Source organism: Homo sapiens, chromosome 8 (assembly GCF_000001405.40).
Source record: "Homo sapiens chromosome 8, GRCh38.p14 Primary Assembly".
Lineage (NCBI taxonomy): Eukaryota > Metazoa > Chordata > Mammalia > Primates > Hominidae > Homo > Homo sapiens.
This window is the reverse complement of record NC_000008.11, coordinates 21,917,933-21,935,604: the sequence shown is the minus strand read 5'-3', so window position 1 is coordinate 21,935,604 and position 17,672 is coordinate 21,917,933. Positions and strand designations below refer to the sequence as shown.

At 41.5% G+C, this 17,672-nt stretch overlaps 1 protein-coding gene across 4 annotated transcripts in view, besides 1 other annotated feature; it reads right to left on the bottom strand.

The window, feature by feature from the left end:
- The window catches only part of XPO7 (exportin 7), an 86,924-nt gene extending 70,981 nt beyond the window's left edge, over nucleotides 1-15,943 (bottom strand). For all 4 annotated transcript variants that reach the window (NR_156173.2, NM_001100161.2, NM_015024.5 and 1 more), the window contains exon 1: nucleotides 15,817-15,943. Coding sequence is in view for 3 of the 4 variants with exons in the window: in NM_001100161.2 (NP_001093631.1) it covers nucleotides 15,817-15,834 (18 nt within the window). In the remaining variant the exon portion in view is untranslated. The remainder of the gene's footprint in view (nucleotides 1-15,816) is intronic.
- Nucleotides 15,587-16,026: a silencer, noted in NCBI's record as "silent region_18974". NCBI's record gives its function as "represses an Ori minimal core promoter by ATAC-STARR-seq in GM12878 lymphoblastoid cells {active_cell/tissue: GM12878}" and the evidence as "EXISTENCE:reporter gene assay evidence [ECO:0000049][PMID:35858748]".

Here is a 17,672-nt window from a genome sequence, read left to right as displayed (position 1 = left end):
TAAAGTCCTATCTATGAGAAAAAAGCAAAAGGTCAAGCTAGTCAGTGAAAACTAATGCACACACCAAATATATGAGTTAAGACTATCTGTATTTAATGGAAAGGAGGGAGTACTGGAAAGATACCTGAACATCAAGCTTAAAACTAGAATTTTAATCCTGACTCTCACTATTTGTAGGACTTTAGGCAAAATGTCCAAATTAATTTCCAATTAGTTTGTTCACCTGAAAGAAGCCTGCACCTTGATATAAAAATAAAAAGAAATAATGCATTTGAAAACTCTGTGTAAACTTGGTTGAGACTTTTGGTTCCAGCAATATGGCAAACTAGTTAGCATGGAAACTTCCTGCCACAAACATCTACAGCTGCTATTTAAATATAAAAGTCCTTTTAGATGCCTGGCTGTACTAATCATAGAGTAGTCAAAATCAATTAGGGCCCAAACCTAATAGAACTAAAACCCAGAGCAGTAAGCATGAAAGCTCCTTTGTGACTGTCCTGATGCAAATGGGAAGTGTGGTTTTTGGTCTTGGTAATGCCTACATACAATGCAAATGTCCTTACTTTAGTTTATCATTTCTTATGACCTAATTCCAACAAACAGCCCAAATGAAAACATATGAAGTTTTTTCTTCATTAATCACACAGATGTCACAACCTGCTTTGTGGTGTACTTTCACTTTTTTGCTATTACAATCCACCTTGCGTGAGTCCCTGCAACTGAAAATCATAGTCAAGATGTTTACACAAGGCTTCACTCCATGCTTTTTCCTAATTTATGGAATTAGCATTTTAATAAATCACCCAAATCTCTGGAAATCTGGCTTGAATGCCTGCATAGCAATCCATCATATTCTAGTTCTTGCTAATCTCTTGAGCCCCACTGCCTCCTTAGCTCCCCAAGCTTCAGTTGGGATGTCTCCTTACAGTTCATCCACGTCTTTGTCTCCTCAGGAACTTTCAACATGTCATTTCTTTTTGTCTGGTACACTGTCCCCTTCTTTCAGTGAATACTGTCACCCCAAAATAAAAATATCAGTTCTCTATCTTAAAATATTTCTTTTTTTTTTTTGAGACGGAGTTTCGCTCTTGTTGCCCAGGCTGGAGTGCAGTGGCGCAATCTCGGCTCACCGTAACCTCTGCCTCCCAGGTTCAAGTGATTCTCCTGCCTCAGCCTCCCAAGTAGCTGGGATTACAGGCATGCGCCACCACGCCCGGCTAATTTTGTATTTTTAGTAGAGACAGGGTTTCTCCATGTTGGTCAGGCTAGTCTCAAACTCCCGACCTCAGGTGATCCGCCCACCTCGGCCTCCCAAAGTGCTGGGATTACAGGCATGAGCCACCGCACCCAAAGTACTGGGATTACAGGCATGAGCCACCGCACCTGGCCAAAATATTTCATTACAACACTTTTCTTCACAGCACTCATTGCAATTTATAAATATATATTTATTGGTATAATTTACTGAGTATCTATAAGAACTACGAAAGCAAGGACATGCCTATTTTGTTCTCTGCTTTATCTCTACTATGTAGCACAGTATTTGCCCTGGAACAATGTACAACTGAAAAAAACATTTTCTCGTTTAAACCTTAAGCATGTTTACTTGTACATTTTCTTTCATTATGCTAACAACATAACAAAATTAAGATTTTAATGGCTGGAAAAGTTAAAATTCATACATTATCTCTAACAAACAATATACAGTTAGCTACCCTCTAAAAAAAGGGGGTATAAATTCTTTTTACTGCATAATCACACTCTAAGATTTTTTCCTAGCTTAAAAACGATGTGATTCTAGTATCACCTCATTAACCTGATAACAGTTACTATTCTGAATACCATGGACACACAGTAAAATTTCTGCATTCACAAATGAAACATAAATATTCAGCTATGGGCAAACAAAAGGGGTAGACCTGGTAGAGAAATGTTAACTGGTTTAACAATGCTTTCTTAATAGACTCACCATATAAATAAAATATAATATAAAAAATGTTACAGTGTTAATAGAATCATGCTGTCTCTGTTTAAAAACAAGAGTCAGGGTAATATTTCAATGCTAAACAGACTTGTACATGTACTCAGGAAACTAATGATATATATAGCCTTGAGGCCTAAAATTAGAGAAATTTTCAAACTGTATTATATTATCTATTAAATAACAGTAACAACAATAACACTGTAAAATCCAGCAAAAGGAGGGGCCGGGCGCAGTGGCTCACGCCTGTAATCCCAGCACTTTGGGAGGCCGAGGCAGGCAGATCACGAGGTCAGGAGATCAAGACCATCCTGGCTAACATGGTGAAACCCCATCTCTACTAAAAAGAGAAAAAATTAGCCGGGTGTGGTGGCACATGCCTGTAGTCCCAGCTACTCAGGAGGCTGAGACAGGAGAATCACTTGAACCCAGGAGGTGGAGGTTGCAGTGAGCCAAGATCGCGCCACTGTACTCCAGCCTGGGCGACAGAGCAAGACTCCATCTCAAAAAAAAAAAAAAAAAAAAAATCCAGCAAAAGGAGAAGTAAATTTCCATCATGTTCTAAAACCTTAGAATGTGATATATGCCTATAATCCCGGCAGTAAAATACTACCATATACCACATGCCAATGAATATTTCCTTGCCCGTAGAAACACACCTTTGATTCTCTAACAAAGGTCAATGTGAATATTAAATATTAAACAGAGGTCAATGTGAATATTAAATATACATTACAGCCAACTTTCCTTGAATGCTCCCATTCTGTATGTTATTTACTCATGTATACACCTCTATATCACAGGTATAAACAATGAATAGCCTACAGTTGACGACTAGCCGCTAGACTATATTAACATTTAGCATCCCCCCTGGCCTACTGACCTGTGGTCCAATTGTCATCTAAACATTTAAACGTTAGAAATAATAAAAGAAGAGATAAGAAATAAAGGCATAAAGGAAGAAGACAGACAGTTTTAACTTGCATAAAAATTCAAAAGAAAGCTTTTTGGCCCTCCTTATCCCTTTTCGCATGAGAAAACCCAAAACACCACGTGTACTTCTTTAGAAGATTCGGCAAGAAAGAAGCATAAGAAACTCGAAACAGAACATTAAAGGGAAGAAAGATAAAAGCAATCACAATACTTAATCCTGGAACCCTTTATTTTGATTTACAGAAGCAAAGAATTCAGGGTTTCATATTTACCCTCTGACAAACAAAAAAGTAAAAAAGAATATTAAGTAAATGTTTCTTAAGAAGTTTTGACGTACACGCCCCACAGATTGCTAGTTTTCTCATTCTCTGGAATTCTAAATCATTTTTCCCTTAATAGTTTTGTAAAATATCAATTTGCTTTTCAAGTTTATACTGCTGTATGATCTATAGAAAATGCTTTTTATTAATCAAGTCAGCAAATAAGGAAGACCAGGCAAACAGCATATTTAAAAGAAGCTTCTGGCCAGGCGTGGTGGCTCACGCCTGCAATCTCAGCACTTTGGGAGGCGTGCGGATCACCTGAGGTCAGGAGTTCGAGACCAGCCTGGCCAACACGGTGAAACTCCGTCTCTACTAAAAATACAAGAATTACCTGGGCGTGGTGGTGGGTGCTTGTAATCTCAACTACTAAGGGAGGCTGAGGCAGGAAAATCGCTTGAACCCAGGAGGCGGAGGTTGCAATGAGCCAAGACCGCGCCACTGCACTCCAACCTAGGCAACAAGAGCAAGACTTCGTCTCAAAATAAATAAATAAAGTAATCTTCTAGCAGAATAGAAGATTTTAAAAAAGAAGCCTTTTCTAGATACCCTTGAAACAACAGTTGATAGAGGATAGAGAATGAATCTGGTTTTCTAATAGTTAAAACATGGGATGGAGAGACAAAACAGACCAAGAGTAGTTAAGGTAGAATTGATAGAAACCTTTAAGGGGTATTGGCAGCCAGAGCAGTCAACAATTCATGATTTATTCAAACTCCTGAGACTATGACCTCTTCTTTCTTGCATTAAATGCATGCCAATAAATTAAATGCATGCCTATTTCATTGCTGGTTGTAAAAAACATTTTACTCTTGTCAGTGGTAACAGAATCTGAGGCTGTTCCAGCAAACAAAACAGAATAAAATACCAGTGTTTCACTCAAGTCTTGCGGTTGCTGTAAGTTAATAAGAAATAAGGTAGGCATGGGCCAGGTACGGTGGCTCACGACTGTAATCCCACCAATTTGGGAGGCTGAGGTCAAGAGTTCGAGACCAGCCTGACCAACATGGTGAAACCCCACCTCCACTAAAAAGACAAAAATTAACTGCGTGTGGTGGCAGGCGCTTGCAGTCCCAGCTACTTGGGAGGCTGAGGCAGGAGAATCACTTGAACCTGGGAGGCGGAGGTTGCAGTGAGCCAAGACTGCGCCATTGCACTCCAGCCTGGTCAACAGAGCGAGACTCTGTCTAAAAAAAAAAAAAGAGAGAGAGAAATAAGATAGGCATGGGGTGGGCACAGTGGCTCATGGCTGTAATCCCAGCACTTTGGGAAGCAGAGGTGGGCAGATCACTTGAGGTCAGGAGTTCAAGACTAGCCTGGCCAACATGATGAAACCCTGTCTCTACCAAAAAATACAACAATTAGCTGGGCATGGTGGTGCGTGCCTGTAGTCCCAGCCTCACTTGGGAGGCTGAGGTGGGAGAATTGCTTGAACCCAGAAGGCAGAGGTTGCAGTGAGCTGAGATCGGAGATCGCAACACTGCACTCTAGCTTGGGCAACAGTATCTGACATCTGAGATATTTACAACATCTAAAGGCTATTGAAATGGAATTTCACTATGAAAAAAATGTGGGTTCTAATTCAACTTGATAACAGATAATCAACTTCCTATAACATTGTTGCAGTAATTATTCAGTTACTCTACTTAAAAACCTTCAACCACACACCTACGGTACAATTATTATGCTACAACAGGCACTTCATGTCCTGGTCTCTTCCTACCATTACATTGATTTCCTCCACAGAAGCCATATTTGCTTTCCTGGAATGTTAAGTGAACATACATATAGCTTTATCTATGGTATTCTGCTTGGTGTGCTCTTATCAATCTGGAGGACACCAGGCCTTTTCAGATCTGGCTTAATTATTCACCACTTTAAGAGGCTTTCCTGGATCTCCAAGGGAGGACTGACCCTTACGTCTTATGTTCTATGCATAGATGTGTCCTATCACCGATCTCACTCTATAACCCTTATTGGCATACATTTCTAGCTATTCAGGTCCTTGAGCAAGGACACTGTATTTTATTCACATTTATATTCCCATTGCCTAACAATCTGGCACACAGTACATGATCAAACAATACCAGCCAAATGAGGGAATGTTTACTGATGTGTGTATCTCACCAAATAACCAGAAGGATAATACCATTCTAAACAATACTATTCTGTTAAATAGGTGAACATTTAGGGTGTACATAAAATACATTTGGTCAATTAGAGAATGTGACAAAAACCATGTTTGAAACCAGAAATGGCAGAAGTTGTTTTAAAACATATCCTTCTGGGTGCCTCTAAAACATCCACTCATTACACATTTCCTCCACCTTCTCAGTGTTAGCTGGTGCATTTAGATTCCTACTTCAGCAAAACATTTATTTCTAGGATGGATTAGGGAGATATTGACATGAGTGATGAATCACCAAAAACTTACAAACATCTCTATGTTAAGAACAAAATAATTCATAATTACATAATATTTTTGCCAAAGAGAATGACTATGTAATCACAGATTTACTGACTTCCACTTCACTCTTTAGAGTCAGTTATGCCTGCCCCTTATCGCAGTCACACAAAACAGTTTACAGTGGGAAAAAAAAAACCCTTTAAATTCAATCTTAAAATAGGCTATCTTAGCCATTTCAACTTAGAATATTTCTGAATTATTTTCAAAACTCATGCTATTATGAAAAACTTTATGGTAAATAATACTTTAAAATTAGAAGCTGAAGAGAACTACGATTGCTAGTGAATCAGGACTTAGCACCAGGAAAAAGTGATTTCATGGTTTACTATCTCCCTTCATATTCTCCATCTCATCTGTAAAACAGTTACAACTATATGGGAATTTTAGAAGGTTTGTTCTTTGCAAAATGCTTTGGCAGATGATAAGTTAACACTTGTTTTTTTCCCCTTAAAACACTATTTCCTATCAGTAAAATTCTGAATTTCTTTTATGAGTTAACTGCTTCCTCTCATCACTTGGCCAAGAGAACAGGACATACATGGATAACAAAATATATCCATTTGCATTCACACACATCTGAGAGGACGAGGATCTAGCTTATTTTTATCGACATCCAGGAAAGCAATCCTATAACCTATGTTCCACTTTGCTTCTAATCCCTTTGGTTCAGCGGCAAGTTTATTCTAGAGTAGCACTGTCCAATAGAAATTTCCATGAGAGTGGAAATATTTTATATCTGCACTATGCAATATGGTAGCTATTAGCCTCATGTGGCTACTGAGCACTTGAAATGTGGTTGGTACAACTGAAGAACTTGATGCAGTTCCTGTCAAACTGGGCTTGGGTTAGAAACATACTGGGCTGGTACGTCCTCCACCCAAAAGTCAGGCAATAGATTTGAAGGGACACATCACCAAAGAAGATCTACCAGAAGTCTGCAAATGTTTTCTCTAAAGGGCCAGAAAGTAAATATTTTAGGCCAAAATGTCTGTCAAGACTATTCAGCTCTGCCACTGTGGTACAAAAATAGCCATACGGGATACATAGATGAATGCATGTTCCAATAAAACTTATTTACGAACAGTGAAATCAGAATTTCATATAATTATCATGCAACATGGAGTATTATTCTTTTAGATGTTTTCAACCATTTAAAATGTAAAAGCTATTCTCAGGGTGCAGGCCATACAAAAACAGGCTGTCAGGCCAAAACACCAGCCTGGTTTGCAAGCCTGAGATATACAAATGTCAGTAAGCACATGAAGAGATACTCAACATGTTAGTCATCAAAGAAGTACAAACTAAAAACACAAGATCCTACTAGAAAGGCAAAAAGAATGACAATACTAAATGTTGGCGAAGTTATGAAATAACTCGAGGTACAGTCATTTTGGAAAATTGACAGTTTCTTTAAAAATGTAAACATACACAATAAGACTCAGCCATCCTACTCCCAGGTACTCAAGAGAAATAAAAATGTACATCCATACAGAGACTGGTATATGAATATTCACAGCATCTTTATTCACAATGACTAAAAACTGGGAACAACCTGAATGTCTCCCAAAGAGTGAATGGATACATCCAATGTGATATATTCATACAACGGAATACTTGGCAACAATGAAAAGTAACCAAGCACTCCTACTATGCAACAATGAGAATCAATCTCAGAGTTACTATGCTGAGTGAAAGAAGTCAGAAAACAAGAGTATACAGTAAGTCCATTATATAAAATTCCAGAAAATGCAAACTAATTTATAGTGACAGAAAGCAGAACAGGGTTGTGTGGGTCTGAGAGCTGAGGGAGGAACAGACTGCAAAGAGGAAATGTTCCATATTTTGATCCCGGAGTCACAGGTGTATGTATCTGTCAATTTGTACACTTTAAATGGATGCAGTTTACTGTACGAATAAAATTTTAGTAAAAAGGAAAGATTTTATTCCACTGGCAACAGATTTACACAACAGTAATCTCTATGAACCAAATATCCACTTTTGTGAGTGCTGTTTACATTTGAGGGGACGGGTATGGGAGGAATAGATAAGAAGTTGGGTCAGCCAGGTGCGGTGGCTCACGCCTGTAATCCCAGCACTTTGGGAGGCCGAGACAGGAGGATCACCTGAGGTCGGGAGCTCAAGACCAGTCGGACCAACATGGAGAAACTCCGTCTCTACTAAAAATACAAAATTAGCTGGGCGTGGTGGTGCATGCCTGTAATCCCAGCTACTTGGGAGGCTGAGGCAGGAGAACTGCTTGAACCCGGGAGGCAGAGGTTGCCGTGAGCCGAGATTGCGCCACTGCACTCCAGCCTGGGCAACAAGAGCAAAACTCCATCTTAAGAAAAAAAAAAAAAAAAAAAAAGGTTGGTTTTTTTTAAGTCTCACCCTATCAATGCTATCAATGTTAACACGAAATGTGCCTTTGGGAACCTCTAGGGTACATTAACAGTAACCTAAACCAAACAGCTCTGAATGGACAGGTTTTAGGAATTCTGTGAAATTAAAACTTCTTGCTCACAACATTCTGCTCTCCCTGTATGGAGTGTGGCTAACTGTAGAATTCCAAGAACTAGTAAATAATCCTTTACATTACAACAAATTTTCATTTGTAACACCTGTGGGATAATGTCCTTATTTTATTTGAATTTAATTTAAATTAATTAATTAATTTTTTTTAAAAGACTTGGGGTCTTGCTATGTTACCCAGGCTGGACTTGAACTCCTGTACCCAAGTGATCCTCCCAGCTTAGCCTCCCCCCCAGTAGCTGGGACTACAAGCATGTGTGCCCCTGCCTGGCCTGTCCTTAAATACTCCCTGTTGCTCAGGTTCAATTCACCTAAAAACAATTTAATTTGGTTTTATGAAGGCCTGAAGAAAGTTGCTCAGTTCTGGAACATTATCAGTTCAAAATATTAAGACTAAGGAAAACAAGGTCACATTTTCCAGTAAGTTTTATTTAATCTTTAAAATTCTTGGGTATGCCCCAGGCTAGTTTTTGACAAGACCTCGCAGGGATCCTTAGATGGGTCAATGACAAGCTGAAGACAAAAATATCACCTACTAACACGAACATTACATTCTAAATAATTTGTGGCTATATATTGGGCAAAATTTAGATTTTTTTTCAACTGAGATGTATAGATTTTATCAATACATCAACAGATGTATTGATATGTGAAATATACATCAGGTTTCCCAGATCTTTTTCAGAGCAAACTTTATGTTTCAAGTTCTTACAGTTAAGTTAAATTTCATGACTAATTTTAGACAACGTCTTTTTGGAAGACAGAAGTAAAGCACTGAAGTTCAGGAGTTAGCAGAGGTGAATGAGGTTAAAAAAAAAACAAGCTTTGAAATAATTTTTGCCAAACTCATGACATATGCTTTCAAAACTTTGCAAACAATTTTAAATAGAATTGGAAAAAATCCTAAGAAAACCCTTCATTTCCCTTTTCTAGCCTTAAATACACCCCTTTAAACCATAAATTGACTCAAACTTTAGGGCAAATGTCTAGCAAAACTCTCAGTTCTTTCTGAGACTGCACATTGTAAATATCATAATTTCTTATCATGCAAAGTACCAATGAGATCAGCATGTGTCCAACTCAAGTTCATATATTTAAAAGCTAAAAGGCCACTACAGTTATAAGATTACAATTTCCTGAAGTAGTACAAGGGATATTTTAATAATCTGCTTGTTTTCAGAGGAACATTGTTTTCCAGAGGAAAATATTTTGATTTTTTTTTTCATCTAACTAATGTTTTTCTAAGAGAGGTTTAAAACCCAGGGGCTTTTAAGTGAGAATCATTTCTCAGCCTACCGGCATCAACATTTGACTAATAATGTTAATTTCTTGTCCCATAAGAAATATCTTTCACTGCTTATTGTCCAACTAAGAGACCTCTTTCGTTACTGTTTGGGGCATAAGAGAGCTCAATTTGTGAGAAGTGCTACAGATGACTAGATCTTACAGAAAAAAACTCTGGGAGTTTAAGAAATTAGGCGTAAAGAAGAGGAAGATATATTTAAGATAGATAAAATGGAAATGTTGGTTTGAGCATAAATATTTTAAGGAATTTTACAAACATGTACATATGAATTGAGAACACGGTGCTATATTGGGGAGAGAATACAAGGATGACAACTGGAAATCCCATCCAGAATGCTTGAAGTACAAGGGACTTCACAGATCACTTAATCCAGGCTCAGAGACCAAACGAGTTTCCCAATTAAATGGCATAACACTATAAAAGGCTTAGCATGGTGCCTGGCATATAACAGACACTCAGTTAATACTGGTATCCCCCTTTCCCTATGACCAACCAAGTCACACTCCAGTAAGTCTTACAATAACCACCACCATGAACATCATCTAAATCTTCCAACAGCGAGTTCTCCAGTCTTCCAGGGATACCAGGTCTTTTAATCAGCTTATTTCAAGGAAAATTCTATTACTATTATCTCTATACCGATGTTACATTGCTGCGGTGAGCATTAAATGATATCAATTAATGCTAGCATGAAGTTTCCAATTCTGCCTTCTCTTAAATACATCCTTCCCATTTTATGGCAGTAGGAGTGTGTGTGTGTCCTTGTGTGCATGCACACATGTGCGAAGGGGTGAACAGCCATTGAAGCAAATATCAGAAATACTTAGGATCTAGGTTTTTTACAACTCTCTCCCTCCCCCAAGATTTTGATATGCCTCCTGGGTACCAATCCCATTCCATTGAGAATTTCCTAGTAATGAGTCACTATAAATGTTAGGAATGAATGTATTCCAGACATGTATTGGAATGGGGGAAAAGATAACGGGGTAGTGACTGCCCCCCATTCAGGGACATGTCGACAAAACCAGTCTCACTACAAATTCACAACTCAATGACCAGGCTTGTTGTGATGCTCAATTCAATGTAAGGCCCTGGAAGTAGAATATCACATCTTGTATTTCCTTCTATGTGTCTGCACAGTAACAAAAATGGGATATTAGTAGATGCTTAAGTGGTCACCATTAATCATCCTCAAGAATTTATTTCAATATTTAAAAATTCAGCTTGCATGTAACTCTCCAGGAACATTTATCGTGGTCCTGAACTTGCTTTTCAAATAAGTCAAAAGAGAAATACTTGTAAATCAGTTTCTCAATAAAATGTTGTGAGCATTTTCATCTAAAAAGAAACATATATTTAAACTCTAGTTATCAAGGTTCATGAATGGCCTAAAATTGTGGGTAAAATTTTGTGTAGGCACACTCTCCCCACCCCCACCAGAGAGCAGTAACATAGCTTCCATCATATTATGAAATAAATCCCCCCAAAGCTGTATAATCACTGCTCTGTACTGCTTCTCCCCCTGGCTTTGAAGCTAAAACTCTCAGGTTACTCAGCTTGAGTTCTAAAAGCAGATTTAAAAATAAAATGACAGGATAGTAGTTAGTGGGGTGGGGGGGGGAGGGGGGCTACAGGTAGCTGTTGAGATGGTATCAGGGGACTTCTGGGGCACCGATAATACTGACTTGATTTGGGTGCTGGTTAGTAAGGAGTATTCACTTTGTGAAAATTCATCAAGCTGAACACATATGATTTCTGTACCTGTCTGCAGGTATATATTTCAATAAAAAGTTTTTGAAAAAAATAACAAAGATGGGTCACTTATACACAGCATATATCATTACAGAATTTAATGAAGTCCTTAAAAATGATGCACTAGGAGAGGCCCATTGGTAAAGAACTGCAGCCTCCAGACAACAGCCAGTGAGGAACTGAGGCCTGACCAGGCCCGCTGTGTGTAAACCTAAAGAAAATTCTCTATCCTCAAGTCAAGCCCTGAGATTGACTGCAGCCCGGAGCCCCAGCTGAGAGTTTGACTGCAAATGAGACCCTGAACCAAAACCATCTAGTTAAGCCACTCCCAGATTCCTAACCCTGAGAAAATGTGAGATAATGTTAGGTGTTTTAAAAAGATGCAGTTTCAAAACACTATCTTCCTTGCACATACTGAAGTGGGCAAAGTAGCCTCAGTAGTTGTACCTACAGAGAGACATTAGCTTATTGGTTTAAACTGGCAACTTTCCCACCTCGAAAGGCTGTGGTACAATATTGCTTTCAAAACCCAACCAAGAAAAAAGAAAATACAGCTGGTGGTTATGAACATCAATTTCTGGGTCAAATGGAAGCTAATTTCTCTGTAAGATATAGAACAGGGATCTTCCTGATACTTCTTTCTATACCTTCATCTAAATTAGAGATTCTTCCATCACTGTACTGTATTTTGTTTTTTCTGTGTTAAGTGTTTGAATGATCCCACACGTATATATACATCCCTTAATTTTTCTCAAGGCTTCTCAGGAAATATACTAAAGTCAGAGTAATCAAGTAAATATATAGATATATATGTTTTAAATACAGACATTTCCAGTGTGGTGTTGAATAGGAGTAAAATAATGAAATAAAATACACACATATTATTTGTATAAACCCACGAAAGAGGTATAATCAGGGTGGGAGTGGGTGATGGGATATAGTTATTGCTTATCACCCAACACAGATGTAGCATGTTTTGAAATCAATGTATTCTTTCTTGTATCTACGTGTGTGCTCCTGAAGCCTGCCAAAAGAGCATCAGAATTGGATATTTCAGCAGTCTGGCTCCAGTGTCTTTCTCATTCTGAATCCTCTGAAGTGCCCAGCACAGAAAGGGCCTTGCACACACTAAGCATTCTGGTATTAGTCGAACTGGAAAAAAGTTAGAAAAGTTATGTTTTTTCCATTTAAAATTCTCAAAAGTTGTACGGAACTCCCTTTTCAAAATGGACTACCCATAGCACTTATCATTTCCTTGCATATTGTTAAAAGCTGAAAAAACAACCATCACTTTTGCTATAATCAGGCCGACTTTTTGCACCCTGCTAAAATTTAACCTGACAAGTTGTAATGATTCTTCACAACTCCCTGGAGTTACACTGGTAGTCAATATTTAATTACTGTGCCTGGAATTTAAAACAAACTATGACTACTTTGCAAATAGTACATTCTCCTAGTACAGTCATAATGCAAAGCCCAGTAAATAATAAGACCCAACACAACAACGTAGTAATTCCAGCAAAATCCTGGAATCAGTCTTCATTTCCATTATTTATGGTAAAACTAATATAATTCATATTAAATAGCATATTCGATATATAAATCATATTCTTTCCTTCCTTTTCCTCTCGAGCTCCTGAACACCAGCTAGCACTATTAAAACTAACATCTGATCCTTCTTAATCTTCTTCATCACCACTGTTCACTGAGCGTTGTCTTCATCTCTTTGCGATAACTTACCAGCTTTAGATATGTTAAAAAAAACATGAAAGGAAGGGCAACTAAACATAATTAAACACACATAAGTAAGTTTGATTTTTTTCTCCCACGCAAAGCTTTGTAACCACCCTGCCTTCAGGGTGAAAGTTAGATAAGGTTATCTAAGACCAAGAGTAAGAAACCCATCACATCGAGGAGCTGCTTAAGGGCACACTTCTACAGACACTTGCCTGTAACATCAACAGAGCTAAAGGGCAATCCAAATATTATAATTTTCCCATTACTAAAGTTTTATAGCACTTAAAATCGTCCATAAAATACATATCCTTAGAAGAGAGATATCCAAGACATCAGCCTGAGAGAACCCGAGAATCATATGACACTCAGCCTCAATTATGAAAAAACTGCTCACCCTGGTGGTTCAGAAAAGCACTAGATAACATAATGACTCGACTATTTAGTTCAACAAATGCAACTCTCCAATAATCAGTCATGAATCTGTAGCAGACACCTTTATAAACTTCACGTTTGATTAGTGTTATAAGAAAAATATCCCCGCCACCCTCCCCTCAATGCATTGCAGACTGTCTTTAATGAATCCTTTATTTACTCATTATACCTAGGGAAGCGTGTATCTTTTTCATAAGAAGGTTTTCTGCCACAATAAAGTACCACCTTAACATCTGTGAGTGCCCAATACTATTAACACTTAGTGGTCTGACAAAGAAAAGCAGTATGTCCCATTCTCTCTAAAGGGAAAAAAATTCACTCACAAACTTACCCCGTTGATATGAAGACCACTAAGCACTAATTTAGACCAACAGATTGCAGCTCTTAAAAGTAAATAAAGGGTACCAATAAAACACTGATCAACATGCTCCCCTTTGTTTTGAAAAGTTAATAAATTCTTACTTCCGTAGATTTTTGAGTGGTGAGTGGGAGAACAACATCTTACTAAAAATAAGACAGACCTTCGTTGGAGCGACAAATGCTGTGAAGATTGCTTTGATGCATCCTGACTTTCACAGGAATGACAACCTTTATGCTTCGAAAATGTGGGAGATCACATTAAGAGATATTTCTTTACGGGAAACAGCAAATAGCACGATGTATATTCATAAAAGTACTGACTCCCTCTGCATTCCGAAGCATGGTTCACAAAGGCTATCTATTCAAAGCCTGTTCTAGAATGCTCATAGACATCCCCCCAACCCCCAGTAAGGAAGCGCACTGGACCCAAACTCCAAAGACTTTGGGACACTTAGACTTACCTTAACCAAATCTCATTATCATTCTTGTGCTTTGGTTTTTGTTCCTTTAAATGACAGAAGTAATTCCTGCCTGAGTCTTGTAAGATCCAAGAATTTTTAAAAATCACATAAAATATTTCATGCTTCTTAGAAATGACTGCTATAAAACGCAAGGTGCTATACTATTATTATTATCATTATTATCATCTCCTTGTATCAACTTTTACTGTCACTTCTGAATTAAGCCAAGGTACTGGCTTTGAAACACAAATCCCGTGGTTTTCCACCTGTGATTACGTTTCTTGCTATAATTCTGTCCTGACAACTTGTCCCGCACACTCCGAAGATCTACTTTACTGATCTCTGGCCTGAAAATTAAGTCTTTTATTTAGTCCCTTCTCTCCAAAGAAAGGGGCAGAAGTCACACCACTCCAGATTCTTGTAGACGTATTAAGAATGAGATCATTCTTCTTACTTGAGGAATGATGCCACAGAATATAAAGGCGACACTTCTTGCCCTCTAATCTTTCCTTGCCACAACACAAAACCTGTGCACTTGGTTACCTAGAAAATTGGAAGGTTCCCCACAATGGATGTGCATCAATAACTGTCATAAAAATATCAGATCTCTGGCACAGACAGGAAAAACTTTATCTAGTTTGCAAGAAATTAAACCCTGCAGTCCTCCATCTGCTACTGGGTTTGGTATGGGCTGTCCCTTTCTAGGGCCTGTGCCTGTCTTTGAGGAGAGTGGCCTGGCCCCACAGCACGCTAGGAGCAGCTCTTGAGCCGGATCAAGACCCTCCCGAGCAACGTCTGCACCCAACCCTGCATCTCTCATTTCAGACACACCCCCCTCCACCCCGTGTTTCATAGGAGGTGTGGGCGCTCAACTCCTTCACTGTGGCTAGGGGGACGCGAGGGGAGGCGGGCCGAGGCCTGAGCACCCATTTTGGAAGACCGGGGAGCTCGGCCCTCCGGGCTGTACGATTTGGAGTGTCGGAGGGAAGGGCGCATCCGTGGGAGGGGGAAGGAGGCCGGGGTTGCTGGGGGGTCTCTCGTATTCCGGGGCGTGAGAGGAAGGCGGCGGGAAAGACTCCGGAGAGCGAGGTTTATCAGCGCGAGGTTTCCTTTTTGTTATCTGCTGAGGGATGGCGGGCGTCATGGGGGCGTCCCCCTCAGTAAAGTCAGCAAGGGGGTCCCCCTCGCTTCACCGGGGGGCGGGCGGGGGGGCCCGAGGACTTGACGGAGGCCTCCCCCGGGGACGAAGACAGTGACTGACGAACGTTGTGGGCTGCGCGCGCCGGGATGCCCGTTCCTGTCCCTGCAGCCCCGCGCGCGAGGTGTGGGACCGGGTGGGAGGGGACGGAGAAGGCCCCCGGCCCGGGAGGCGGGAAAGGCCCCGGGGCTCCGGGACGGGCGGCGGCTCCAGAGCCCCGAGTGGCGGCGGCGCGGGCCTGCCGAGTCCCGAGCCGGCTGGCGCCCTGTGGGCCGTGTGCACCCCCGACTCCACTCGCCGCTCTTCGTGGTCGCCCCCTCCCCCCCGCGGCTCCTCTCACCTGCACATGATCCGCCATTTTGCTCCATTCATGCTCCTCTCCGGCCCCCCCTCCCCCCCAGCGCGCACCTCGGCCGGAGCCGCTGCCGCCGCCGCCGCCGACGCCGTCGCCGCTGCGCCTGCGCGCTGGGGACTCGTCGCGCTGCGCTCGTGGCGTAGCGCCGCTCAGCTGCGCAGGCCCCGGCGGCCCGGGCCGTGGTTGGAGAATGCGCAGCACCGCTGGGACGGCGTAAAGGCGCGGGCAACGTCAGCGGCCCGGAGACGCCGGGTGGGAGGAAGGAGCGGGCCGGGGGAGCGCGAAGGAGGGGCAGCTGGGGGAACAAAGCTTTGTTTACATGGTTTTTAAAGGGGCCGCGCTCGCTCCGGCAGGCGGGCGCTGGAGTGGGAGTTGGCGCTGCCTTCTGCTCGTTTGCGTGGTGAGGGCTCCTGGATGGGGGCCGAGGTCTGTCGCCGCCCCGGGACCCCTGCACCCAGTGGCTTCCTCTCTTCCCAACCGTCTTCCCCCTTGACTCGCCCCTGGACGTCTCCCACCCCCACCCCCACCCCACCCTGCAGCTACGGGGACCCCCCACACCCCACCTAGGCTGCCTGCGAGATTCCTTACTTTCCAATGCCCTCTACTCAACGGGGGCCGATTCTGTGCTTGTGTCTGTCTAGCTTTCTGGACCAGGGCCATCGCTCTCTGGTCTGGATTTCACCAGCAACCCCAGTGGTTGATCTCGTGTTTTTCATTTCTGTCCTTTCGTCCTTGATAAACATTCATGGAAATAACCACCGAATGGTGGTGATGATCAAAACATACGAAGGCACAGTTCTGGCTTCCCAAAGACATTGTCCTCGTTGCCAATACTCTAGACTGCCTCCCGAGAGGGTCAGATGCTGGAAGAGGCAGCGGGGCTGGTGGTTAGGACCCCTAGGCTCGGTCTTGTGGAGGTATGAGTGGGAAAGCCATCTCTCTGGGTCAGATAAGGTCAGCCCCTGCATGCTGAGGCCAATTCCAGTCTTCCTCACTAGGAATTATCTGTTAGATAATGCCGGTTCCTGTTTTCCATTGGATTCCACTGTGGCTTCCTTTTAAGGCCCCCAGGTTAGATCATAGCTGGATTCTGAGAGCACTGATTGTTTGAAGTTTGTATTTACAGGGGACTACCATCATATGCAAATGATGGTGGTAGTGAATTACACACCCTTGGTGGATGTAGTGGACCGGTGCTCAGCATTCATTTCGACTTCCGTCCTCCTAGTAGGTCTTCCTGGTTTGCAGAGGTAGGGCACCTGGAAACTACATTACCCAAACTTCCTTGCAGCTAGGGTTCTGTATGCAAATTAGGCTCTGCCAATTAGGCTGACTCAGAGAAGATTTAAGAGGCAGAAGATTTAAGTGGCAGAGCTTTTGACTGTTAACTTCTAGCGAGCATAGACCTTTTCAGATGTTGGGTTTTTGTTTTTCCCCAAAACCTCCCAGCGTCCAATCATTAGCTCCGAGCGTATAAAGAGGCGGGGTGATGGGGTCAGTGGCTTTCTGAACCTGGCATCGGGCAATGAAATATTCTCAGAGTCACAATTGCAATGGAAATTCTTTGGATTCCCTACTGGACTGAATAGAGGTAACAGTTTCACAGTGGGCCAGGCCCAAATTTCTGTCCACCCTCCCTTCCCCCACCCCCGCACCCCAACCTCCCCGTGTTTCTCCCTGTGTCTTCCCTTCCTCAGTAAATGGTACCACCATTCATCCAGTTGCTCCTAATAAACACTCAGGAGTTGGTTCTTCAAGTCTTATCAGTCCCCAACATGCAAGTCACCTGCAAGTCCTGTTCAATCTATATCTAATATATACCCAATATGACCACTTCTCCA